Here is a 26,784-nt window from a genome sequence, read left to right on the forward strand (position 1 = left end):
GCTTTAATAGTGGCTGTCCTAAGACTTTTTTGTCATTTATGGACAATTGTTGTCTTATTTTGATCCTCTTCACAAGGTGATTTGGCCGGGTGCAGTGGCTCATGCCTGTAATCCTAGCACTCTGAGAGGCTTAGGTGAGCAGATCACTTGAGGTAAGGAGTTCAAGACCAGCCTGGCCAACATGGTGACACCCCCTCCCTACTACTAGAAATACAAAAATTAGCTGGGCTTGGTGGCATGTGTCTGTAACCCAGCTATTCAGGAGGCTGAGGCAGGAGAATTGCTTGAACCCAAGAGGCAGAGGTTGCAGTGAGCCAAAATCATGCCACTGCACTCCAGCCGGGGCCACAAGAGCAAAACTCCATCTCAAAAAAAAAAAAAAAAAGGCTGGGCGTGGTGGCTCACACTTGTAATCCCAGCACTTTGGGAGGCCGAGGTGGGTGGATCACGAGGTCAGCAGTTCAAGACCAGCCTGACCAACAGGGTGAAACCTCGTCTCTACTAAAAATACAAAAATTAGCTGGGCATGGAGGTGGCACACGCCTGTAATCCCAGCTACTCAGGAGGCTGAGGCAAAAGAATCACTTGAACCCAGGAGGGAGAGGTTGCAGTGAGCCGAGATAATGCCACTGCACTCCAGTCTGAGCGACAGAGCGAGACTCCATCCCAAAAAAAAAAAAAAAAAAAAAAAAATTGTTGCTGATCCTTTGTTTTGTTTTCAGAGACAAGAAAACTTTTCTTATGAGCTGTTGGCAGCTGTTAACAACTGAGGAAAGTATACTCCTGTAAACAAATTTTGGTGCATATTTGTCTCTCTGCTTTTGAATTATCTGGAATTTGGAAACTATTTGTGAGTATTCATAACTTATGGCAATACAGTTATTTGCATAAGTGCAATAAGATTTTTTTTTAGCTGGTCATGGTGGCTCAAGCCTGTAATCCCAGCACGTTGGGAGGCTGACATAGGCGGATCATTTGAGCCCAGGAGTTCAAGTCCAGCCTGGCCAACATGGAAAATCCCCATCTCTACAAAAAATATGAAAATCAGCCAGGTGTGGTGGTGCATGCATATAATCCCAGCTATTTGGGAGGCTGAGGCACAAGAATTGCTTGAACCTGGGAAGTGGATGTTGCAGTGAGCCAAGATCACACCATTACACTCCAGCCTGGTTAATAGAGTGAAACCCTGTCTTGGAAAAAAAAAAAAAGTTTTCTTTTGCAACAGAATACCATCAGAGAAAATGGCTATTTTACCAAGGCTTTGACTGAAATGGTGTGCTTTCCTTTAAGGAATCAAACTTGATTCATAGAGCCCATTAAAGCCCCTTGGAAAACTAGTCTCATACCCTGCCTACAGCATCCCTATACAGGGTTTCTGACCTGTGTTAAGTAAAGAATGTCCCTTTCTGATAGGCCCAGGAACTCCAAGTTATCTTGGGACCTCAAGAGGAGAGGAATTTACCCAACTCATAGGTATTTGGTGATACATGGCAATGGCTGGGCTTGGCTTTTAAAAAGTCTTACCTGATATTCCTTTTGTGGAACAAACTTCCATCAAAGCCAATATAAAGAGTCTGTGTGAAAAATAATGATTCTTGCTGCACTTATACGTATAAACAGGCCAAGAATAATAAAGCAAATCAGTCATACCATGATTGGTCTTTAGTAAAAACAGGAAACTGGAGTGAGAAAAATTATGTTTCAAAAACTACAGTACATCTGTTGTTAGACTCTAGTCTCGCCTATTGTTTTTCAATTTTTATTATTTTCTAAAGTTTGGACTGAATTCTAACTTTTCTGGGCTACACATCTCCAAAATAATGTTTTTAATTTTTTCCCTCCTTCTTCCCCGATTTTTCTAATTTCAAATCACTAAAAACTAAGCTGTGCTTTCTTAAAGCCCTGAGAACCGAAGCTAGACAACTTAAATGTCAGAAGAAGATAGTAACAGCCTATTTACATATATAAGGCACTTTCATACCTGGCTACTGATGTATGAACTTCAGAGTAATATGGCCCATGTCAATTTTCCGAAATTGTTATTTTTCTGTTTGTTGTTTCTCTCCCTTTCTCCCCCCATTTTCTCTCCGCAGGACATGAGACTTCACAACGTGCAAAATGTGAGCTTTCCTAATAATATGGGACCTCCCTCTCTAGGAATAAACTGTCCTAGCCATGAGGGATCAGAGGAAAACTAAGAACAGAGACTCATGTTCTTCTAAAATGATTTCTCTGAAAAATTTTTAAAAAGAAAAAGGCATTAGATGGGAGAGTTAAAATCATCATTAAAAAAAACCAGGGGTGGGGGAATGTGAGAAGTCCTGGGAGGTGGAGGTTGCAGTGAGCTGAGATAACGCCACTGCACACTAGCCTGGAGGAAAGACCAAAGACTCTCTCAAAACAAAACAAAAACCTCAAATTGAATACAATATTTTATAAACTGAATTGGCCTTTTCCACATATGTTCTGGCTCCTTTGACATACATAACGTCCTGAGTTTTAACAAATTTTGTCTTGTAGTTATTGTGTAGTATGTAATATTCCAGGCCAATCTTGGAGAAGCAGGCTTGGTTATCCCTAGTATGATTTCAAGGATGTGTAGTCTGTTGTGAGAACTGGTTTTAAATTTTACCACACTGATTACATTTGTAAGGTTTCTCTCCAGTATGAATTTGGTAAAGACTGAAAACACACTACTGCTTAAAGTCCCTTTCATGTTCAGCACATTCATAGGATTTTTCTCCTATATAAATTCTCTCACTCCAAAAGCATGAACATTTGATTTTTTTTTTCTTTTTTTTGAGACAGAGTCTCGCTCTGTCGCCCAGTCTGGAGGCACGATCTTGGCTCACTGCAAGCTCCACCTCCTGGATTCATGCCATTCTCCTGCCTCAGCCTCCCAAGTAGCTGGGACTACAAGCGCCCACCACCTCGCCCAGCTAATTTTTCGTATTTTTAGTAGAGACGGGGTTTCACCATGTTAGCCAGGATGGTCTCGATCTCCTGACCTCATGATCCACCTGCCTCGGCCTCCCAAAGTGCTGGGATTACAGGCGTGAGACACCGCACCTGGCCGAACATTTGATTTTTTAAAAAGTCTTACTACATTTGTTACATTTGTAAGGTAGCTCTTCAGTATGAATACTCTGGTTTCCATTTTGATGTTCAGGTAAAAGCCTTACCACACATATTACGTTTGTGTGGTTCCTCTCAAAGTTGTATATTTTGATGTCTCGTGAGTTCCGATGCCTGGGGAAAGTCTCTGGCACATACGTGTAGATTTCCTATCAGTATAAACTCCCTTCTGTCCAGTAGGGATTGAACTCTGGTAAAGGTTTTGCCACACTCTTTTCATTTGTAAAGCATCTCTGCACTATGAATTATCTATAGATCCACAAGTTTTGATCTTTGAATAGAATTCTTGCCACACATACTGCATTTCAGTAATTTCTCTCCAATATGTATATTCTTTTTTTTTTTTTTTTTTTTTTTGGAGACAAAGTCTTGCTCTGTCGCTCAGGCTGGAGTGCAGTGGTGTGATTTTGGCTCACTGCAACCTCCACCTCCCGGGTTTAGGCAATTCTCCTCCCTCAGCCTCCAAAGTAGCTGGGACTATGGGCACATGCCACCATACCTGGCTAATTTTTTGTATTTTAGTAGAGACGGGGTTTCATTCTGTTGCCCAGGCTGGTGTCAAACTCCTGAGCTCAGGCAATCTGCCCACCTCAGCCTCCCAAAGTGCTAGGATTACAAGTGTGAGCCACCACACCCGGCCTTCTAGTATGTACATTCTTATGCCAAGTGAGTAGTGAACAATACCTTAAAACTTAGCTACATTTACTGCATGTGTAAATGTATTGGGCCATATTTGAATTGCTATAAAGAACTATCCGAGGCTGGGTAATTTATAAAGAAGTTTAATTGACTCACAGTTCTGCAGGCTTTACAGGAAACATGGTGCTGGCATCTGCTCACCTTCCGAGGAAGCCTCAGGAATGTTAAAATCATGGTGGAAGGAAAAAGGGGAGTGGGCATGTCACATGGCAAGAATAGGAGCAAGAGAGAGGAAAGTTCCATACACTTTTTTTTTTTTTTTTTTTTTTTTCTGGAGACAGGGTCTCGCTGTCACCCAGGCTGGAGTGCACTGGCACGATCTTGGCTCACTGCAACCTCTGTCTCCTGGGTTCAAGTGATCCTCATGCTTCAGCCTCCTGAGTAGCTGGGATTACAGGCATGCATCACCATGCCTGGCTAATGTTTATATTTTAGTAGAGACAACTGTTCACCACGTTGACCAGCCTGGTTTTGAACACCTGGCCACAAGTGATCTGCCTGCTCCAACCTCCCTAAATGCTGGGATTACAGGCATGACCCACCATGCCTAACGTGCCATACACTTTTAACCAACAAGATCTCAGCCAGGCGCAGTGGCTCACACCTATAATCCCAGCACTTTGGGAGGCCGAGGCAGGCAGATCACTAGGTCAAGAAATTGAGACCATCCTGGCCAACATGGTGAAACTCCATGTCTACTAAAAATACAAAAATTAGCCAGGCATGGTGGTGTGCACCTGTAGTCCCAGCTACTCAGGGAGACTGAGGCAGGAGAATCACTTGAACCTGGGAGGCAGAGGTTGCAGTGAGCCTAGATCACGCCACTGCATTCCAGCCTGGCGACAGAGAGAGACTCCGTCTCAAAAAAGCAAAACAAACAAAAAAACAAGATCTCACCAGAACTCACTATCCCAAGAAGAGCAAAAAGCGGGTGGTGCTAAACCATTCTTGAGAAATCCACCCCTGTGATCCAATCATCTCCCACCAGGCCCCACCTCCAATAAAGGGGATTAAAATTCCACATGAGATTTCAGACGGAAGTGACAAATATACAAGCTATATCAATAAGTATGAATTATTTGAACCCAGAAGTTAGGAGAACATCTAAAGGCTTTTCCACATTGAATTTTGTTTTAAGACTCTCTGCAGTATGTTTTGTCTGATGTTTAGTGAGGCCTGAGCGACTAATGAAAGATTTGCCACACTCATTACATTTATAAGGTTTTTCTCCAGAATGAATCATTTGGTGTTTGTTGAGGCAAGAAAACCGCCCAAAGGCCTTGCCACATTCAATACATTTGTATGGCTTCTCTCCAGTGTGATTTCTTTGATGGTACACCAGCTTTGACCTTTCAATAAAAGCTTTACCACATTCATTACATTTGTAAGGTTTGTCCCCAGTATGCATTTTCTGATGATTAACCAGAATTGAACGCACTCTAAAGGCTTTGCCACACTCATTACACACGTAAGGTTTCTCTCCAGTATGAATACTCCGATGACGTGCTAGTGTTGATTGATGACGAAAGACCTTGCCACATTCATTACATTTGTAAGGTTTCTCTCCAGTGTGAATTCTCCGATGCCTTGCAAGGTTCGAAGTGGAATTAAAGACCTGGCCACATTCAATACATTTGTATGGCATCTCTCCAGTATGCCTTCTCTGATGGTACGTCAGGCCTGTTATATGACTAAAAGTTCTACCACAATGGCTACATTTGTGTGGTTTCTCCCCAGTAGGATTTCTGTGATATCTTGCAAGTTTTGAACTTTGGATAAATGCCCCTCCAAACTCATTACAATTGTAAGGTTTCTCTCCAGTATGAATTATCAGATGTTTAGTGAGGCTTGAACGCTGAGTATAGGCTTTGCCACAATCATTACATTTGTAAGGTTTCTCTCCGGTATGAATTTTCCGATGACGTGCTAGGCATGAGTAGTAACTGAAAACCTTGCCGCATTCGTTACATTGAAACGGCTTCTCTCCAGTATGAATTCTCTTATGATTTGAAAGGTTTCCACTGTCATTGAAGACCTTGCCACACACATTACATTTGTAAGGTTTCTGCCCAGTATGAATTCTTAGATGACGTGCTAGGCATGAGTAGTTCCTGAAGACTGTGCCACATTCATTACATTGGAAAGGTTTCTCTCCCGTATGTATTCTCTTATGAATTGAAAGGTTTCCACTGTAATTGAAGACCTTGCCACACACATTACATTTGTAAGGTTGCTCCCCAGTATGAATTCTTAAATGTCTTACAAGGCATGAATTTTCACTAAAGACCTTTCCACATTCACCGCATTGGTAACGTTTCTCTCTGGTATGAATTATCTTATGTCGAGTGAGTAATGAGCCCTGTTTAAAGGCTTTACCACATTTATCACATTTGTAAGGTTTCTCTCCAGTATGAATTCTCCGATGCCCCACAAGATGTGAAGTCTGACTGAAGACCTTGCCACATTCATTGCATTTGTAAGGTTTCTCTCCAGTATGACTTCTCTGGTGCCTTGCAAGTTGTGAACGTTGACTGAAGACCTTGTCGCATACATCACATGTATATGGTTTCTCTCCTGTATGGATTATCTGATGTGTAGTGAGGCTGGAGCTCCGTTTAAAGGTTTTGCCACACTCATCACATTTGTAAGGTTTGTTTCCACTATGAACTGTCTGATGAGTTGCCAGGTTGGAACTTTGACTAAAGGACTTTCCACATATGTTGCATTTGTATGGTTTCTCTCCAGTGTGGATTCTCTGGTGATTTACAAGATTAGAATTCTGCCTGAAGACCTTGCCACATATATCACATTGATATGGTTTCTCTCCTGTATGGATTATCTGATGTGTAGTGAGGCATGAGCCTTGTTTGAAGGTTTTCCCACACTCATTACATTTGTAAGGTTTCTCTCCAGTGTGAATTCTCTGATGTATTGCAAGGTTATAACTTTGACTAAAGGACTTGCCACATTCATTACATTTGTACGGTTTCTCTCCAGTGTGACTTCTCCGGTGATTTACAAGATCTGAATTTTGTCTGAAGATCTTGCCACATACACCACATTGATATGGCTTCCCCCTTGTATGGACTATCTGATGTATAGTTAGTAGTGAGCCCCGATGAAAGGCTTTGCCACATTCATTGCATTTGTAAGGTTTCTCTGTAGTATGTACCATCTGATGGTTAATAAGACTTGAAGACACTCTAAAGGCTTTGCCACACCCTTTACACATATAAGGTTTTTCCCTAATGTGTGTTTTCTCAAGTTGGGTGGGTAATGACAGCTGCAAAAACTCATTCTCATATTTTTTAGAAATGTTGGTTTGGACACTAGGAAGAATTCTTTGAAGTGGTGAAACTAGGGAACTGTTATTAACTGTCTTCTCAGATTGGTTACACTCATAAATTTTCCCTTCAGTTTGAAATTTCTGCAGTTCAGTCAGACGTGACTGAAAGCTTAATGTAAGCTGATTTTCAATACATTTGTTTTCTACATCCTCTTGACTATGTTGACCTCTTTTACCATTAAGATTGTTTTTATAGGTCATTGGCACTTCTTTATAATTTATTTCACCATCTTTCCATTGAAACTCAAGGTCCTGTAGATTTTTCTGGATTTCCCTTAAGTAAAAATTTTCAACATCATAACATTCATGTCTTTCCAGCGTCACTGTTTGGCATTTTTCTCCTGTATTACTGTTCCCTATTGGTGGTAATTCCTTGGTCATACATTTAGGAAGGATACCTACAAAATATAATGAACATGGGAGTTTTTTCGTTGGTTTTTTTTTTTGAGACAGAGTCTTGCTCTGTTGCCCAGGCTGGAGTGGAGTGGCACAATCTCAGCTCACTGTGACCTCCACCTCCTGGGTTCGAGCTATTCTTCTGCCTCAGCCTCCTGAGTAGCTGGGACTACAGGCACACATCACCACACCTGGCTAATTTTTATATTTTTAGTAGAGACAGGGTTTCCCCATATTGGCCAGGCTGGTCTCGAACTCCTGACCTCGTGATCCGCCCACCTCGGCCCCACAAAGTGCTGGGATTACAGGTGTGAGCCACTGCGCCTGGCCGAACATAGATTTTAAAAATAACTAGTATTATTTGTTTTTTTTTAAATAACTACTATTCATAAATATTTTATATTGAAAACATACTACACTAAAAGTAACGTTTATACTAGACAGTTACCAAACTTTACCACAATGATCTTCTATTTTTACAAATAAAAAAGGAGTAGAATTCTTCAGTAAAGAAAGAGTAATCACATGTAATTCAAATTAATTTTAAGGAAACCTAGTTTCAAACATTCAATGACTGAAAGACTCATGTTGTGCAAACATATATTAGCACTAAAACAAGTATTTTTCCACCATGCCCCCAAATCATACATCAACTGGCAGCAAACATATGGCTCTCTCAGAAGAGAAAATAGTTATATACATATATATTTACTTCATATTTATTGTGCATGAATAAATGTCAAATTACAGCTAAATATCAACAAGTTCAACTAATTAATGTTCTATATAAATGGCAAGCTAGAATTATAAATCAAAAATAGTACTGGGAAAATGAGAAAGAATTTTTTGAAGTTATAACACTAAGTTATTTTTCTGAATACTTATTATATAAGTATTAAACCTGTTCTAAAACTACCTATTTCTGGCCGGGCGCAGTGGCTCACACCTGTAATCCCAGCACTTTGGGAGGCTGAGGTGGGTGGATCATGAGGTCAGGAGTTCGAGACTAGCCTGGCCAACATGATGAAACCCCGTCTCTACTAAAAATACAAAAATTAGCCAGGCATGGTGGTGTGCACCTGTAATCCCAGCTACTTGGGATGCTGAGGTAGGAGAATTGCTTGAACCCAGGAGGCAGAGGTTGTAGTGAGCTGAGATCGCGCCACAGCACTCCAGTCTGGGTGACAGAGCAAGACTCTGTCTCGGAAAAACAAACAAACAAACAAAAAACTATCTATTTCCATAAAAAATAGACATTTGCAACACTAACAAGCAGTGCAAGTCAGCTATATTGACTTATGTCTGCCAAAACTCGTATGTTGGGGTCCTAATCCTCAATGTAATATTACTTGGAGGTGTGAACTTTGGGAGGCAATTAGGTCACCATGGTAGATAGAATTTCAGGAACGGAATAGGAATTTGAGTAGATGTGAAAAAGCTTTTGCTTTTTGCACGGCAATCCTTCTGCCATGTGAGGACACAGAAAGAGTTAGTCATGATACACCAGGAAAATGGCCCACACCAAGAACCAAGGTGACTGGCTCTGACATGTGGACTGCTCATCACCCAGATCTGTGAAAAGTGACTTCCTGTTGTTTAAACGACCCTATCTATGGTATCTGCTATACCTAACCACATTAAGTTAAAGCTAATATGCCATCTCATTATAAACATGAAATAATGTTGATATACCTTATTAAACAAAGAAATTTGTGAGTCTTTACTATAAAACATGCAATATTCTAAGCTAGCAAACAGCACTAACTTGTTTTAAAAAATCTTAAGATAAATTATCACTATTTTACAAATAAGGACAGTAAGACTGCCCACAGGATTTATGTATCTACACCCAAATTACGAAGAAAGTAAGACATGAACCTGGGTTTCCGGGATCAAACATGTTTTTAAATAAAACTGGCCAAACAGTCAGTGCAGATAACTGGTCACTCCAAATACCAAGAGTGTGGAAAGAAATACTTCAAGAGCCAATGTGTGTTGCCAAAACATTATTCAGTCACCCTTCATGAATAACAGTATCTGAGCCATCATCCCCTGCACATATTGACATAGACAGTGTTCTCAGAAAGTTGTCAAGTGAATGAGTTACACTGAGTGTAACATGGAAGGTGAGGGAGTACTGCAATAATGGGAGTGTAAAATTAATATGCTAGTAAGTAACTGGGTAGTCCATCTGGACCAAAGTAATATGTTTGGAAGAGGCAGGGAGGAGGAAGGGCAAGAGGGGAGGGCAAAGAGTTATAAGCATGGGGCAGCAGCGTTTGTGCTTGCAGAGCTGTGGGTATATAATTGCCCAAAGAATAGTTAAAATCCTGACTTTGGAAGAAAAGAGAGATACTAATTTAGAAGTAGCGTGGTGACTCACGCCTGTAATCCTAGCACTTCGGGAGGCCAAGGCGGGCAGACTGCCGAGCTCAGGAGTTTGAGACCAGCCTGGGCAACATGGTGAAACTCCGTCACTACTAAAATACAAAAAATTAGCCGGGAGTGGTGGTGTGAGCCTGTAGTCCCAGCTACTCAGGAGGCTGAGGTAGGAGAATTGCTTGAACTCAGAAGGCGGAGGTTGCAGTGAGTTGGGTTCACGCCACTGCACTCCAGCCTGGGAGACAAAGCTAGACTCTGTCTCCATTAAAAAAAAAAAAAAAAAAAAGTACCATTATACTGACTAATACTTAAATATGGGAATTCTACTAAGGGCACAGGACAACAAGGGAAGACATTCAAAAAGGGGATAGTGTGATGATATGGGAAATGAAAGGCCAGATGCAGCATTATGAAGCTTTTTATTTGTGAGTCAACAAGGCTTCAGTCTCAGTCAAATAATGGAAGGGCTCCCAAGAAAGACAACAGAGAAAATACAAAAATACACGAGGGCAGATCTTAACTTCTAGAGCAAAATTATCCTTACCCAGGAAGACCAGGTTCCTGTAGTTCTCCAACATCACATCCCAGTACAAAGCTTTCTGCACAGGGTCCAGGGATTTCCACTCCTCCTGAGAGAATTCTATGGCTACATCCCTGAATGTCAAAGGTCCCTGAAATGAAAAACACATTTCAACATGAGCAATGGGAGAGCTCTTATCTATACATAAAATGAGAAGAGGAGAGAACTGTCACATCAATTTGATTGTGTGTTTTCACATATCCATGCAAGGCATCTGTGAGAAGGTTATGTGTCCCTAATTTAAGTTTGTTTTAAAATTCAATAGAAGATTATGATATCCCGTAAATCAGTGTAGGCTTCTCATTTTTGTGTACAATGCAAGAAATATACAAAGAAATGAACACGTGGTTATCTGTATAAGTATTAGATATTATGTTCAATATATCAACTGAGTGTCCAGATGAGCTAGTATACAAGTGGTGTCTTGGAGATGACAATGTCCATAGAAGCTTTAAAGAAAGGTCAGAAACTAAAAACTGTGATGACCACAGCAACAGCAATGACTGAAGTTTTGGAACACTCCCCATGTGCTGGGCATTACTCCAAATGCTTTACATGTTCTAATTCAAATAATAACATAATAGATAGAGAGATAGAGAGATTTGTTCCCATGTTACTAGGAGACAACTATGTCACAGAAAACGCTAAAAAGTCACCTAGGTCAACAACCTGAAAATGGCAGAGCAGGCATCTAAATCCAGATGTCTGAGAATCAGTCTTGAATCAAAAGAAACAAATGGTTAAATTATGGTTACGGTATGTCTTAGTCTCTCTGTGCTGCTGTACCAAGTAAAACAGACTGGGTAATTTATGAACAATAGAAATGTATTTCTCATGATTCTGCTGGCTGGGGAAATCCAAGATCAAGGTGCCAGCAGGACTGATGTCTGGTGAGAGATGATCCTCGCTTCCAAGATGGTCTTGTTGCTGCACAGGGGACGAATGCTGTTGTCCCCACATGGCAGAAGGGACAGAAAGGGCAAAAAGCAGTGAACTCCGTAGAATAAGCCTTTTGATATCTCATTGACGAGAACACCATACCCACTGATAAAGGCAGACTTCTCATGATCCAATCTCCTCCTAAAGGCCACGACTCATAACATTTAAAGATTAGGCACTGGGGATTAAGTTTCAACATGAATTGTGGAGGAGAAAAAAAAAAAAAACTCAGACTGTAACATTCCACCCCTGGCCCCCAAAATTGATATACTTCTCACAAACAAAATACATTCTATCCTAATGGCTCCCAAAGCTTTATTTCTACAACCAATTCAAAAGCCTATAGTCTAGAGTTGTATCTAACTATAATCTAAATCAGATATGGGTGAGACTCAAACATGCATTTCATCCAAAGGCAAACTGCTTTCTAGTTGTGAACCTATGAAAGCAAACGAGTTATGTGCTTCCAAAATACAATGGTGGGGCAGACACAGGTTAAATATTTCAATTCCAAAAGGGAGAAACAGGAAAGAAGGGGTAGCTGTTCCCATGTAAGGCTGAAACCCAACAGGGCATACACATTAAACACTAAGGCTTGACAATAATCTTTGACTCCGTGTCCCACCTTCTAGACATCCTGGAGTAGAGGTTGGGTCCCAACATCCTGGGGATCCCTGCCCTAGTGGTTTTGTTGGGATCACCCCACATGGAAGTTCTCACAGTGCCTGCAGCTCTCCCGAGCTGGAATCACATACCGGTGACTCTACAGTTTTGGGGTCTCAAAGGTGGCCCTGCTCCCAGGGCTTTACTGGACCTTATCCTAACAGGGACTCTCTGAAGTTGGCCCCACCTCCACAGCTAGACTGAGCATTGCCTTAGTGGGGACTTCCAGGGACAGCCTCACTCCTATGGCATTTTTATGCCTAGGCTCCAAGGATCTCTGAGGCATTCTTTGAAATCTAGATGGAAGTAACCGTGAGTCCACATCTCATGCCCTCTGCACACTTTTAGTTAGCACTGTGTTGATGTTGCCAAGGTTTACAGTTTGTGTGTTGTAACCGACCTCAATCCCTGGTGGACTGAACAAAGCGGGTGAACGCGGGAATAAAAGAAAAAGACAAGAGAGTATATTTGGAAGAAGGGGCCAGGGGGCATCTTGCCTCTAGTGGACAAGGGCCCTGAGCTTTTTCAGCCCTCCAAATTTATTAGGTAAAAGAGATAACCAGAAGTGGGGGTGATTGTTGGTAACTCAGTCGGCCGTTTGGATCACAGCAGGCTTGCAAGACTGCATCCTTCCAACAATAAGCTCTAGATTTCCCAGTAGATAACTTCAAGGAGCCCGGCGCCAGGGAGTGACGGCCCTCAGCAAACCTTCTGGCGGCAGGCGCAGTCGTGAGTTTGCCCACATCCTGCATTCATGGTAAACAGTTTGCTGTTTGATCATATAGCCTCCAGTGGAATGCTAAGTTGATCACGATCCCTTTGGCCTTTTTAGCTCCCAACAGTGTGTGCCCTCTGGAGTGGTGGCTGGTCCGCACCTGGCCCCACTTCAGTCATAGGTGGGGTAGCCAAGGACCTCTGCTCTGAAATACAGAGATCACAGACCTGAGGTATCAGAGTTCCGAGGTCCGAAGGGCACCCTGGGCCACTCCCTTGAAACTATTCTGCCCTCAAGGCCCTGGCACTCTGGACCTACAATGGGCACAGCAGTCTCAAAGATCTCTAAAATGCCTTTGGGATGATTCTCTGATTGTCTCAATAATCAGGTCCTGGCTTACTTCTATCCATACTAATCTCCTTGTCAGAGGCCACTTGGCTACACCCCTCTTGGTTTTCTCTCCTAAATACACTTTTAATTCTTTACATGGCCAGGCTGAGAATTTTCCAAATCTTTACACTGGGCTTTGAAAACAAACTGTTTTTAACTCATTTCTCTCTTCTCCTGTTTTACTATAAACAGGTCAGAGAAGCCATGCAGCAACCTGAACAATTTGCTTTGAGAGTGTTTCTAACAAACATCTTAGTTCATCACTCTTAAATTCTGCTTTCCACAGCCCGGGTGCGGTGGCTCACGCCTGTAATCCCAGCACTTTGGGAGGCCGAGGTGGGCGGATCACAAGGTCAAGAGATCGAAACCATCCTGGCCAACATGGTGAAACCCCGTCTCTACTGAAAATTCAAGATGAGATTTGGGTGGAGACACAACCAAAGCCTATCAACTGGTTTCTGTCTTGCCTGAATATAATCACTGAAAGGAACAGGATGAAAGGTTAGGGGCCACTGAGAAAAAAGAAGATTGACATAAACCAGTGTGTGCAGTAACACGGAAAGACACTAGGTAAGATCTAGTACCATAGGTGACTGCAGCACCAGAGTCTTCAATAGCGCAGACAGGTAACAGGGGAGCTTCTGAGTAGAAACCAGCAAACCTCTTCAATTAGGAGATGACAAGCAAAGGCTCAGAGAGGACACAATCCCCAGTCAGAAAATTATAATTGTGTGTGTGTTGTTGTTGTTTTAGATGGATCGTTCTACTGAACTCCAGCCTGGGCAATAGAGTGAAACCCTGCCACAAAAGAAGGAAAAGAAAAAGAAGGAAGGAAGGAAGGGAGGGAGGGAGGGAAGAACAAGAAAGAAGGAAAGAAAAAGTGAGAAAGAAAGAGAGTAATGGCCGGGTGCAGTGGCTCACGACCTGTAATCCCAGCACTTTGGGGAGCCAAGGAGGGCAAATCACCTGAGGTCAGGAGTTTGAGACCAGCATGGCTAACATGGTGAAATCCCGTTTCTACTAAAAATATAAAAAATTAGCCAGGCTTGGTGGTGCGTGCTTGTAATCCCAGCTACTCAGGAGGTTAAGGTAGGAGAATTGCTTGAACCCAGGAGGCAGAGGTTGCAGTGAGCTGAGATCGCACCATCGCACTCCAGCCCGGGCAACAGGAGTGAAACTCTGTCTCAAAAAAAAAAAAGAGAAAGAAAGAGAAAGGAGGGAGGGAGAGAGAGAGAGAGAGAAAAGGAAGGAAGGAAGGAAGGAAGGAAGGAAAGAAAGAGAAAGAAAAAGAGAGAAAGAAAGAAAGACTAGAGCTAAAAATAAAATAACTGAGTTGAAATAGTCACTAGATGAGTTCAACAGCTGACTTAATCAGACAGAAGAAGGAATCAGTGAACTCAAAGGGGATTTTGACAGGGAGAGAAACAAAAACTATAAAAAACAGAGAAAAATGAAGAGAGCATGAGGGGCTCATGGCAAACAATCAAGCACCAAGAACATATGTATTCTGGAAGTCCAATAAATAATGTGAATATATATAACATTACTTAACTGTAAGTAAACAAACAAGCTTTACTGAAAGGCATAATATAATCAAAGGCTGGGTTCAATGGCTCATGCCTGTAATCCCAGCACTTCTGGAGGCTAAGGCAAGCGGATGACTTGAGTTCAGGAGTTTGAGACCAGCTTGGTCAACATGGTGAAACCCCCTCTCTCTGAAAAATACAAAAAAATTAGCTGGGTATGGTGGTGAGTGCCAATAGTCCCAGCTGCTCAGGAAGCTGTGGCAGGAGGATCCCTTAAACCTGGGAGGCGGAGGTTGCAGTTGGCCCAGATCATGCCACTGCACTCCAGCCTGGGCAACAGAGCCAGATTCCATCACCAAAAGAAAGATGCATGCAAAGAAAACGTAAGCAAGAAAACCTTAGATCTAAAAGAAACATAGTATTTTATGATCACTCTGTGAGCCAGGCCTTCCAGAAAAAGATAAAGGAAAACATTTATTTATTTTTGCTTTTGTGGTATGCCATCCTAAAAGAGGCACTCACTCTTTAAACTGCCCAACCTGGAGGAAACTTCAGACATCTGTGGTAAAGATAGCATGCATACAGGCAGCCACGGTGACATTCTTTGTAACAGCAAAAAACAGTAAAAGACCCATACGTCTTCATTTAGGCACTGCTCCAAAGAGGATGCAAAACAAACTATTAGTGTTTATTAACATAAAAATATGTACACTTCAAAAACTTGCAAAACAAAACTTCACAGCAGAACATTCACTGAAGAATTGTTTTCTGAAATCTCATAATGACGTGTAAATGCAACTTGACACCTCTCACTGACTCTTGCCACAGAACTTGCAACAGTAGCTCCCCACAGAAACATGAGGGATGGTGGATGATGTGATAGGGAAAGGAACCTGGGTTCCCCCAGGTTGGGCACTTGAAAGAGTGATCGCTTCCTCTAGGATGGTGCATTTCCTGCTTTGCTAGATCTGGCAAGATTCTCCACTACCCTGAGCTGCAAAGCAGCCCTCTCCCACCAACATCACACGAGATTTCTCACTCATTTGAACAAAACCTACTACTATGTTTCTTTTAGATGTTGAAGATCTGGGGAAAATGATAACTCTTTGCATTTCCATTTTCCATTTCATTAATTTGTAGAAATCAAAATAAAATAATCTTCATTCTTTGCTCAATTTTTTTTTACTGCATTCTAGCAGCCATTTCATATTCTGTAGTTAAATTTTCAGAATATATATGCCTTAATGTCCTTTTTTTATTTTTATTTTTATTTTTGGAGACAGAGTCTAGCTCTGTCACCCAGGCTGGAGTGCAATGGTGCAATCTCAGCTCACTGCAACCTCTGCCTCCTGGGTTCAAGGGATTCTCCTACCTCAGCCTCCCGAGTAGCTGGAACTACAGGCATGCGCCACCACGCCAGGCTAATTTTTGTATTTTTAGTAGAGGTGGGGTTTCACTATGTTGGCCAGGCTGGTCTCTAACTCCTGACCTGGTGATCCGCCTGCCTCAGCCTTCAAAAGTGCTGGGATTGCAGGCATGAGCCACTGCGCCTGGCCAATGTCCTTTTTTAAGATTATAAATTTTTTTTTAGCATAAAACTGAAATGTTTCCTTGATGCCCCATGTTTTATGTTTGCTTATAAATTTTATGGTATATATAAGGTATACAACATGATATTACAGTATAGATAGTAAAAAAAGTCACTATGGTTTAACAAATTAACATATCCATCATCTCAGAGGTACCTTTTTTTTTGACAGGAACAGCTAAAATCTAACATAGCATGAATTTCATATATAATAAAATATTATTTTCCTATCATCTTCATGTTGTACCAACTTCTTTTTTTTTTTTTTTTGAGACGGAGTCTCGCTCTGTCGCCCAGGCTGGAGTGCAGTGGCACGATCTCGGCTCACTGCAAGCTCCACCTCCTGGGTTCATGCCATTCTCCTGCTTCAGCCTCCCAAGTAGCTGGGACTACAGGCCCCCGCCACCACGCCCAGCTAATTTTTTTTTTTTTATTTTTTAGTAGAGACGGGGTTTCACCTTGTTAGCCAGGATGGTCTCGATCTCCTGACCTCGTGATCCGCCCGCCTCGGCCTCCCAAAGTGCTGGGATTACAGGCGTGAGCCACCGCGCCCGGCCTGTACCAACTTCTTAATGCCTCAACTGCATCTCTGCTTGGACTTTTACTGCAAACAAATATATTATGTGATGTTTAAAATAAAAGAAATATGATGTTCAGTAATAACTGGTGGAATGAGAGAATTTGGCTCCATCTTCTCTAATAACAAAGGAGTTCTGCTCCTACATCTGAGCAAAATTATAACCTTTTTACATAAAACAACTGCGAAGAGTCCCAGCATGAACACCGCAGTCTCTGTGGGACGGATACAGTGACAATGGCTAAAAGAATCTGACATTCAGGTTGATTTTATATTTTAAAATCAATGATGGGCCAGGCACGGTGGGTCACACCTGTAATCCCTGCATTTTGGGAGGCCGAGGCGGGAGGATCACCTGAGGTTGGGAGTTCTAGACCAGCCTGACCAACATGGTGAAACCCCATCTCTACTAAAAATACAAAAATCAGCCGGGCGTGGTGGCGCATGCCTGTAATCCCAGCTACTCAGGAGGCTGAGACATGAGAATCACTTGAACCAGGGAGGTGGAGGTTGCAGTGAGCCGAGATCACACCATTGCCCTCCAGCCTGGGCAACAAGAACGAAACTCCGTCTCAAAAAAAAAAAAAAAAAAAAAAAAATCAATGATAAAATAAACACCCTCTATCACTGACGTGTGTATCTAATTGTCCATTCCATTCCCAGTCATTAAGATTTTGAAGTTAGAAACAGTGATTAATTCATACACCTTCAAATGTAGTATAAAATTAGGCAGAAAAGATCTCCCCTCATAGGTCTCTTTTCCAGAATTTATGAGGTATCGTGCACATTAATATGTGACTTCCGTGTGCAGCTTCTCTACTTCTGGTCTACAGAGAGCTGACTGCATCCTGATTTTGCCTCTAAACAATCTCTGCTGCCAACAGCTCTGACATTGTGGGGCCCATACCCCGTCTCCATCCGTGTCTGGGTGTGAGTCTCTCCCAGGACCATGCCCAGTGGAGCCTCTTCCCAAGTTAATGTCACTGGGTCGCAGTGAGATAGAAGCTAAATGAGATGAGAGAAACTGAGGGAAGGCATGGGTGAATGGCAGCAAACGTGTCAGGCAGGATGCTTCAGACTCAGAGGAGATTCGCAACTCCAATGTGTCGCATTTCAAAAAGGAAGGAGACAGAATGATCCACTAAGAATATCATTTTACCTGTGTAAGAGCCATCCCTGACTCCTTTTCTTTCCTCTTCTTCCTCTTCTGGGCTTCTCTCTCAGTCAATATAATTAATTCTTTACAAGTCAAATCTGAAAGTGAAAAATCTGTTGTTTAATGCTTGGAAACAACACATTCCTTTCTGCGCTACAACCATGCCCACAGGGAAGACCTCAGCATGTGGAGAGACAGCCCACTGCACCAGGGGGATGCAAGGATAATAAATTCCTAAACAAAGACCAAGTGTCCTGGCATGGTGGCTCACGCCTGTAATCCCAGCACCTTAGGAGGCAGAGGCGGGCAGATCAACTGAAGTCAGGAGTTTGAGAGCATCCTGGCCAACACAGTGAAACCCTGTCTCTACTAAAAATACAAAAATTAGCCGGGTGTGGTGGCATGCACCTGTAGTCCCAGCTACTCAGGAGGCTGAGGCAGGAGAATTGCTTGAACCTGGGAGGCAGAGGTTGCAGTGAGCCGAGATCATGCCACTGTGCTCCAGCCTGGGTGACACAGCAAGACTCCATCTCAAATAAATAAATCAATCAATAAAAATAAAAAAGAAAATGTATGATGTGTCTGTATACATATCTTTATGTGTACGTGTATTTATATAGATATATATAGTATGCGTACATATGTATAATGGACTTATTCAACCATCAAAAAGAAGAAAATCCTGCTATTTGCAACAACATGGATGAACCATGCAATCTCCGCCTCCCAGGTTCAAGCGATTCTCCTGCTATTTGCAACAACATGGATGAACCTGGAAGACATTACGCTAGGTGAAATAAGACAGACACTAAAAGACAATTACTGTATGACCTCACAAGCAGAATTTTAAAGTATCCAATTCATAGGAACAGGGTAGAACAGTTGTTGCCAGGGGCTGGTGGTGGGGAGAATGGAAAAATGTTGGCCAAAGCGTATAAACTTTCAGTTATAAAATGAAGAAGTTCAGGGGAATCTAACGTACACCGTGGTGTCTATACTGTATTGGACACTTTAACAGTTTGGAAAGTTTTTGAAAAATTTAATGAGTTATAGGGTGAAAGTTTAAAAAAATGACAATACTTAACATTTAGAAATGAATGACGTCAGCTGATTATAGGATGCCACCAAATCTTATTTCAGAAGTCAGTAATTATTTATAGAAAGGCAGATATTGAATAAACTAACACTTATCTCAAGCTTCCAAAATAACGATGAATTAAGTGGAACTACAAAGAAAAAAGTAGGCCAGGCGCAGTAGCTCACACCTGTAATCCCAGTACTTTAGGAGGCCGAGGCCGGCAGATCACCTGAGGTTGGGAGTTCAAGACCAGCCTGACCAACATGGAGAAACTCTGTCTCTACTAAAAATACAAAATCAGCCAGGCGTGGTGGCACATGCCTGTAATCCCAGGTACTCGTGAGGCTGAGGCAAGAGAATCACTTGAACCTGGGAGGCGGAGATTGCAGTGAGCCGAGATGGCACCATTGCACTCCAGCCTGGGCAACATGAGCGAAACTCCGTCCCAAAAAAAGAAAAAAGCAAATCCATTACCAAAAAAAAATAAGACTCTGAATACTCATACAAAGATATACCTCGTAGGCCTGGCGTGGTGGCTCCCGTCTGTAATCCCAGCACTCTGAGGCAGAAAGACTGCTTGAGCCCAGGAGGTTGAGGCTGCAGTGAGCGGAGATCATGGCACTGTACTCTAGTCTGACAGAGCAAGACCCTGTCTCAAAAAAGAAAAAAAAAAAAAAAAGACATACCTTGTAGTGACAGTGACAGTCATTTATCGCCCCATTTCTCAGTTACTCTATCCTCTACCCCATCCCAGGGAAGAAAAGAGTTACCACGAATGACTTAATTTAAATGCTCTCTGGCTAAACAGAAATTCCAAATATCTTTTGATACAAATAAATACAAAATGCACAAGCCTTACAGAAAAGAGTGGTAATTTTCATCCTCACGAGTACAATTTAAAGAAATGAATTTTAAATTAGAGTATAAAGTCACAAATTAGAATATTACAACCACCATCCATATCCAATCAACTCATCGCTCATCTGGATGGGGTCCTCTCCCACTTTCTTCACTATTGTGTGTGTCCCTCTCTCATTCTGCACCTTTCCTCCCCTTTTCTGTTTTTCTCCTCTTTATGTCTGTTCTGCCCGATGCTCTGCAACTTACTTCACCTCTCGTAGCTCTTTCTCCCCAATCTTTCTGATTGTCCCCAATCTCCACGTATTTCCGCCTCTTTTTCCCCATCTGAGCTCCCTCTCTGCTCTCCTTGTTAAAATTCCCTCTTACCTGTTACACCTCCTTTGTTCCCACTCTCTAGCACCCCCAACTCCCTAGGCTTCCTCCCTGCTGTGGTTCTCCCTCTACTCTGCTTGTCACCCACTGCCCTCTCTCCCTCTCTTTCAGTCCCAGCACCACGTAGCTCTGTCGGCTGCGGCTCCAACTCTTTCACCTTCTCCCCACTGTCTGTCTGCAGTGCCTCCTCCTTTGCCGCCCCACTCTATTTTGCTGCCTTTCATCTCTCTGAAGGTCCCCCTTTTTTTCTAAATTTCTCTGTGTGCTTTCCTCCCCCTGCTTCTTTCTCCATTCGTTCTCTTTCACTCTTGCTGTCTCTTTGCAAATCCCTAAATTATCATCCATTTTGCCGTGTATTTATGGGTCTCCCTCATTCTCTTCTATTCGGTCTTTCCTTTTGCTCCGTCGCTCCCCTTCTTTTCCTCTCCTGATCCCTCTCACCCACACATTCAGTAAGAAAGGGGAGGAATAGGATGCCCACCTCCCGGAAAAGCATATTTTCCAGTGGAGTAAAATTTGGGAAGGAAGAACACTGGGTGTCACAAGACTCAGGTGACCTCCCCCAAGGGGGGGATCGAGAAAAGCAGTGGCTGTGAAGGGGAAGCCTGGGGAGCGAAAGGACCCGGCGTGAGGAGGACACAAGGTGGCAGGGGGTACGGTGTCTCAGGACAGGGAGGGTCTGCAGAATCCCAGGACCTGGGAGGAGAAGCGACTCCTTCAGGAGCCGGACGGCGGGCGCTCCCCTCCAGGGGCTGACGACGGAGAAGCTCCGGGGTCGCAACGGGCGGGAATCCACCTCCCGAGTGAGGACTCGACTTGGCGCAGGGCCGAAGCAGAGGTCAGTAAGGGTTTTAAGCAGGAACACGACCTGAGTGGGGTTGTCTACATGGTCCTAAGGCAGAAAGGCAGGGAGCAAGGAACAGCCTCAGAGAGATTTTTAAACCGAAAGGGAAGCAATTATCAGACTTACTTGGGGCGAAGGGGCTGTTGCTGGTATTTTAAGGTCCGTAGCGATCCCCAGGAAACGGGTATGGACAAGGGAAGACTGCCAAGTGCACGTTCGATTCAGGCAGACGGGGCGAAGCAAATGTTTAGTCCAGGTAGACGGAAACTGACGCGCAGCGCTGTGATCTTTTCCCCGCGCGATCTGCTTCCGGGTGTGCAGGAAGCTACACGCCCTGAGAAAAAAGACTGAGAGACCTGGGGCGGGAGAGGGGCCTGGGCGGGGTGCGACCCGCAAGGGAAAGGGCAGAAAGACTGGCCAGATTTGGGAACCCTGAAAGGGTGGGGCAAGGCTGATGCGGTAGTGGGCGGGGCCAGGTGGGCTAAGCGGGACGGGCGGTGTGGGCGGGACCTGTTTGGTGGGCGGGGCCTGTTATTCGCTCTGCCTTCCACCCAGCAAGTCTTTGTTCTCCCGATTTAGGAGTATTTGTGACTATTTCTTGTCCTGTGAAGCAGCGTTGCTTCCTGCCTATTTTAAGTTAATGTTTTAGACTTTAAGGTCAAAGCTTAAAGTTGTGGTCCACTTCTGTTGGAAACTAAGATGTTTTCTTCTTGTCAAGTTGAACTGATTTAAGTCAAAATCGATTTTTGCGAGCCTGGTGGACTCCATCGGGTCTTGCCAGTGAGGCTGAAGCCAGTTAAGGCTGAAGTTACTCAGTAGTCAGGGAACTAGGATCTCCGTGAAGATCTGATGTGCAGCCGTGGCTGGATCCAGGAACCCTGAAGACATTATGCTAAGCGAAATGTGCTAGACACAGAAAGACAAATCCTGCATGTGCTTACTTACATGTGCAATCTACAAACATCAAAATTACAGTAACAGAGTAGAAGGGTGGTTTCCAGGGCTGACGGTCTATCCTGTGCCTGTCCCACCATTGTATTTTGGAAGCAAATAGCTTCTTTGGCTTCACAGTTTCACAGCTGGACAGAAATTTTGCCTCAGGATGAACCACACTTTGAGTCTCACCCATATGTGATTCAGATAATATTTGGGTAATATTTGGGCCTTAGAGTTTGATACTGAAATGGATTAAGACTTTTGAAATGGGCCAGGAGCAGTGGCTCTGGCCTGTAATCCCAGCTCTTTGGGAGGCCAAGGTGGAAGGATTGCTTGAGCTCAAGAATTCAAGACCAACCTGGGGCAACATAGTAAGACCCTTGTCTCTACAAAAAATACAAAAATTAGCCAGGCATGGTGGCTCACGCCTATAGTCACAGCTATTTGGGAGGCTGAGGTGGGAGGATCTCTTGAGCCCAGGGGATCAAGGCTGCAATGAGTTGTCTTTGCACCACTGAACTGCTGCCAGGGCAACAGAGTGAGACTCTGTCTCAAAAAATAATAATAATAAGACTTTTGAGATGTTAGGATGGGGGTGAAGGGATCTTGCATGTGAGAAGGACATGAATTTTGGGAGTCCAGAGTACAGAATGTTATGAGCTGAATCACGTCCCTAAAAAATCATTGTTGGCCAAGCGCGGTGGCTCATGCCTATAATCCCAGCACTTTGGGAGGCCGCGGCGGGCGGATCACAAGGTCATGAGATCGAGACCATCCTGGTTAACACGGTGAAACCCTGTCTCTACTAAAAATGCAAAAAATTAGCCGGGCGTGGTGGCGGGTGCGTGTGGTCCCAGCTGCTCCGGAGGCAGAGGCAGGAGAATGGCGTGAACCCAGGAGGCGGAGCTTGCAGTGAGCCGAGATCCAGCCACTGCACTCCAGCCTGGGCGGCAAAGCGAGACTCTGTCTCAAAAAATAAATAAATAAATAAAATAAAATAAATCATTGTCTTTAAGTTCTAACACCCAGTACCTCAGAATATGACTGTATTTTGAAATAGGGCATTTAGAGGCTATTAAGTTAAACTAAGCTTGTTAGAATGGGCTCTGATGCAATCTGACTGATGTTTTGATAAGAGGAAATTTGGCTGGAAGCAGTGCTTCATGCCTGTAATCCCAGCACTTTGGGAGGTCAAGGTGGATGGATCACTTGAGCTCAGAAGTTTGAGACCAGCCTGGCCAACATGGTGAAACCCCATCTCTACTGAAAATACAAAAATTAGCCAGGTGTGGTGGCGCATGCCTTTAGTGCCAGCTACTCGGGAGGCTGAGGCAGGAGAATTGCTTGAATCTGGGAGGCAGAGCTTGCAGTGAGCCGAGATCGCGCCACTGCACTCCAGCCTGGGTGACAGGGTGAGACTCTGTCTCTTAAAAAAAAAAAAAGAAAAATTAGCCGGGTGTGGTGTCACGCACCTGTAATCTCAGCTACTTGGGAGGCTGAGGCAGGAGAATCGCTTGAACCCGGGAGGCGGAGGTTGCAGTGAGCCAAGATCGTGCCACTGCCCTCCAACCTAGGCTCAAAAAAAACAGTGTGTGGCACCTCCCCATTCTCTGTCTTCCTCCTGTCTGGGCATGTGAAGTACTTGCCTCCCCTTCACCTTCTGCCATAATTGTAAGTTTTCTGAGGCCTCTCCAGAAGCCAAGCAGATGCCAGCATCATGCTTCCTGTACAGCCTGCAGAGCCATGAGCCAATTAAACCTCTTTTCTTTATAAATTACCCAATCTCAGGTATTTCTTTATAGCAATGTGAGAACAAACTAATACACTGGCACTACAGGCATGTGCCACCACACCTGACTAATTTTCAAATTTTTTGTAGAGATAGGGTTTCACGTTGTTGTCCATGCTGGTCTTGAACTCCTGGGCTCAAGTGAGCCTCCTGCCTTGGCCGCCCAAACTGTAAAGTAGATAAAATTTAAAAAATGTATATTTTTCCAAGGCCGGGGGCTGTGGCTCACACCTGTAATCCCAGCACTTTGGGAGACTGACGGGGGCTGATCACGAGGTCAGGAGATCGAGACCATCCTGGCTAACATGGTGAAACCCCGTCTCTACTAAAAATACAAAAAATTAGCCAGGCGTGGTGGCACGCACCTGTAGACCCAGCTACTTGGGAGGCTGAGGCAGGGGAATCGCTTGAACCTGGGAGGTGGAGGTTGCAGTGAGCCGAGATCGCGCCACTGCACTCCAGCCTGGGGACAGAGTGATACTCCGTCTTAAAAAAAAAAATTTCCTTCAGATGAGTAGGTAATTAAGTAAGAAAGAAATATAAATCTTAAAAAAGGGCTGGGCATGGTGGCTCACGCCTGTAATCCCAGCACTCTGGGAGGCTGAGGTGGGTAGATCACCTGAGGTCAGGAGTTCAAGACCAGACTGTCCAACATGGTGAAACCCAGTGTCTACCAAAAATACAAAAATCAGCCCGGCATGGTGGTGGGCGCCTGTAATCCCATCTACTCAGACTGAGGCAGGAGAATCTCTTGAACCCAGGACAGGAAGGTTGCAGTGAGCTGAGATGGCACCATTGCACTCCAGCCTGGGCGACAGAGCAATACTTCGTCTCAATAAATAAATACTATTTTTCCTTCCTCGAGAAACTCAAAGAAGGCTGATCTGTATGTGATCCGCAATTGACTTTTCAGTCAGTGGTCCTTTGCTGTGACCCACAGGAGTGTGACATTCTATGGATGGATTCTTCTCCCTGAGACCAGAACTTCATCTTTTGCATATGATCAGAGGCTTTTAGAGGCTCTGCATTACTTTTCGGATCAACACCATTACACAAGTTTAGCCTAGAGACAGCTGACGTGGGAAGGTATCTTATGAACAAATACTGTTGCACTCGGCTCTCTTGCAGGGATCTTGCTGCCCCTTAATAATTTCCTCCAGGGCCACTGAAAGACGCTAGAATTTTTCCTAGATCTGTCTCCCACACATACATAGATTGGAATTTTTGGATAAAAGCTCTGTTTAGGCCGAGCTCGATGGCTCATGCCTGTAATCCCAGCAGTTTGGGAGGCCGAGGCAGGCGGATCCCTTGAGGTCAGGAGTTCAAGACCAGCCTGGCCAACATGGTGAAACTCCGTCTCTACTAAATAAAAAAATACAAAAATTAGCCAGGCGTGGTGGTGCATACCTGTAATCCCAGCTACTCGGGAGGCTGAGGCAGGAGATTCTCCTGAACCCAGGAGGCAGAGGTGGCAGTGAGCCAAGATTGTGCCACTGCACTCCAGCTTGGGTGACAGAGTGAGACTCTGTATCAGAAAAAAAAACAACAACAACAAAAAACCTCTGTGTATCACTCTGAGCCCCGCCCAACCTGTATCTCTAGAAGGATGATATTCTCTGAGGAGACAGATCTTAGGTGTCTCTTTGCACTGATGTTATTGATTTAGCAAGGAAAACAAATAGGCAAATATCAGTTTATGCTGGTGATGGGATCTAGTGATCTCTTACTTGACTTGGGTCTCTGATTTACTCAAATAATGATAAAAATTGATTCTCCTCTAGATGGCAGAAAAACAAGAGGAGCTCCAGCCCACACAGGAGGTAGAAAGTAGAATCTATGCCACGTGGAGTCCAGTTTGAGTTCAGCCATAGGCACTGAGTGTCCTCCCACAAAGAAATGGCTCTCTATTATTTGAAGGGCACTCTTGTTGGCACTGCTGCCTGGAGCTACTGGACACTGAGAGCGTGCATCTCAGACCAGAGTTCTAGGCCTGCATCACAGAGCGACGGAACAGCACAAAGGTTCTTTAGTGCGGAGAAGAGATAAAAAGGAGAAGGTGAGCCCTGACCCTCCTCCCACCATCCAGTCTAGCCAACCCCAGCAAATGTCTGAAACCAACCCAATCCCTTCACTGTTCTTTTTCCTTTTTCTTTTGAGACAGGGGTTTACTCTGTTGCCCAGGCTAGAATGCTGTGGCACGCCCAGGCTAGAGTGCTGTGGCACGATCACGGCTCACTGCAGCCTCAACACCTCCAGGCTCAAGTGATCCTCCCACCTTAGCCTGCCAAGTAGCTGGGACTCTGGGACTACAGGTGCACAACACCACGCCCAGCTAATTTTTGATTTTTTATAGAGACGGTCTTACTATGTTTCCCAGGCTGGTTTCAAACTCCAGGGCTCAAGCTATCTAGCCACCTCAGCCTCGAAAAGTGCTGGGATTTATAGGTGTGAACCACCATGCCCAGCCCACTGTTCTTTTTTTAAACTCTAAAAAATATTATATCTTTTAGCTTTTTCTCTTTCCTTTCTTTTTTAGACAGGGTCTTGCTCTGTCACCCAGGCTGGAGTGCAGTGGTATGATCACCACAGCATTGACATCCCGGCCTCAGGCGATCCTCCCACTTCAGCCTCCCAGTAGTTGGGACTACAGGCATGCGCCGCCACACCTGTTGGGAGCCGAAAAGGCCAAAGGGATCATGACCAACTCAGCGTTCCGCTGGAGACTATATTATCAAACTGCAAACTGTTTATCATGAATGCAGGATGTGGGCACACTCACACTGCCCTGCCACCAAAAGGTTTGCTGAGGGCC

At 43.9% G+C, this 26,784-nt stretch overlaps 1 protein-coding gene across 3 annotated transcripts, besides 2 other annotated features; it reads right to left on the reverse strand.

The window, feature by feature from the left end:
- Window positions 1-4,144: 4,144 nt before the first annotated feature.
- ZNF836 (zinc finger protein 836) lies at window positions 4,145-21,659 on the reverse strand. Of its 3 annotated transcripts, none has more exons than NM_001102657.3 (5): window positions 21,374-21,659; window positions 19,686-19,819; window positions 18,096-18,190; window positions 10,503-10,629; window positions 4,145-7,578 (listed from the first exon to the last, which is right to left on the reverse strand). In NM_001102657.3, the coding sequence occupies exons 3-5, from the start codon at window positions 18,108-18,110 to the stop codon at window positions 4,910-4,912; spliced, it is 2,811 nt and encodes a 936-aa protein (NP_001096127.1). In that variant the 5' UTR covers window positions 18,111-18,190; window positions 19,686-19,819; window positions 21,374-21,659; the 3' UTR covers window positions 4,145-4,909. The 3 variants fall into 3 exon arrangements, with proteins under 3 accessions (NP_001096127.1, XP_011524860.1, XP_011524861.1); XM_011526558.4 differs by having other exon boundaries at window positions 19,686-19,823; XM_011526559.4 differs by lacking the exon at window positions 19,686-19,819.
- Window positions 21,058-21,197: an enhancer, noted in NCBI's record as "active region_15037". NCBI's record gives its function as "activates an Ori minimal core promoter by ATAC-STARR-seq in GM12878 lymphoblastoid cells {active_cell/tissue: GM12878}" and the evidence as "EXISTENCE:reporter gene assay evidence [ECO:0000049][PMID:35858748]".
- Window positions 21,778-21,827: a silencer, noted in NCBI's record as "silent region_10993". NCBI's record gives its function as "represses an Ori minimal core promoter by ATAC-STARR-seq in GM12878 lymphoblastoid cells {active_cell/tissue: GM12878}" and the evidence as "EXISTENCE:reporter gene assay evidence [ECO:0000049][PMID:35858748]".

Source organism: Homo sapiens, chromosome 19 (genome assembly GCF_000001405.40).
Source record: "Homo sapiens chromosome 19, GRCh38.p14 Primary Assembly".
NCBI classification, from domain to species: domain Eukaryota; kingdom Metazoa; phylum Chordata; class Mammalia; order Primates; family Hominidae; genus Homo; species Homo sapiens.

Excerpts from the sequence above, each read along its gene's own strand:
- ZNF836 (XM_011526559.4), bottom strand. Across the intron at positions 7,579-10,502 it reads CAGGAACCTGGTCTTCCTGG|GTATCCTTCCTAAATGTATG; the intron begins GTAAGGATAATT and ends TATATTTTGTAG.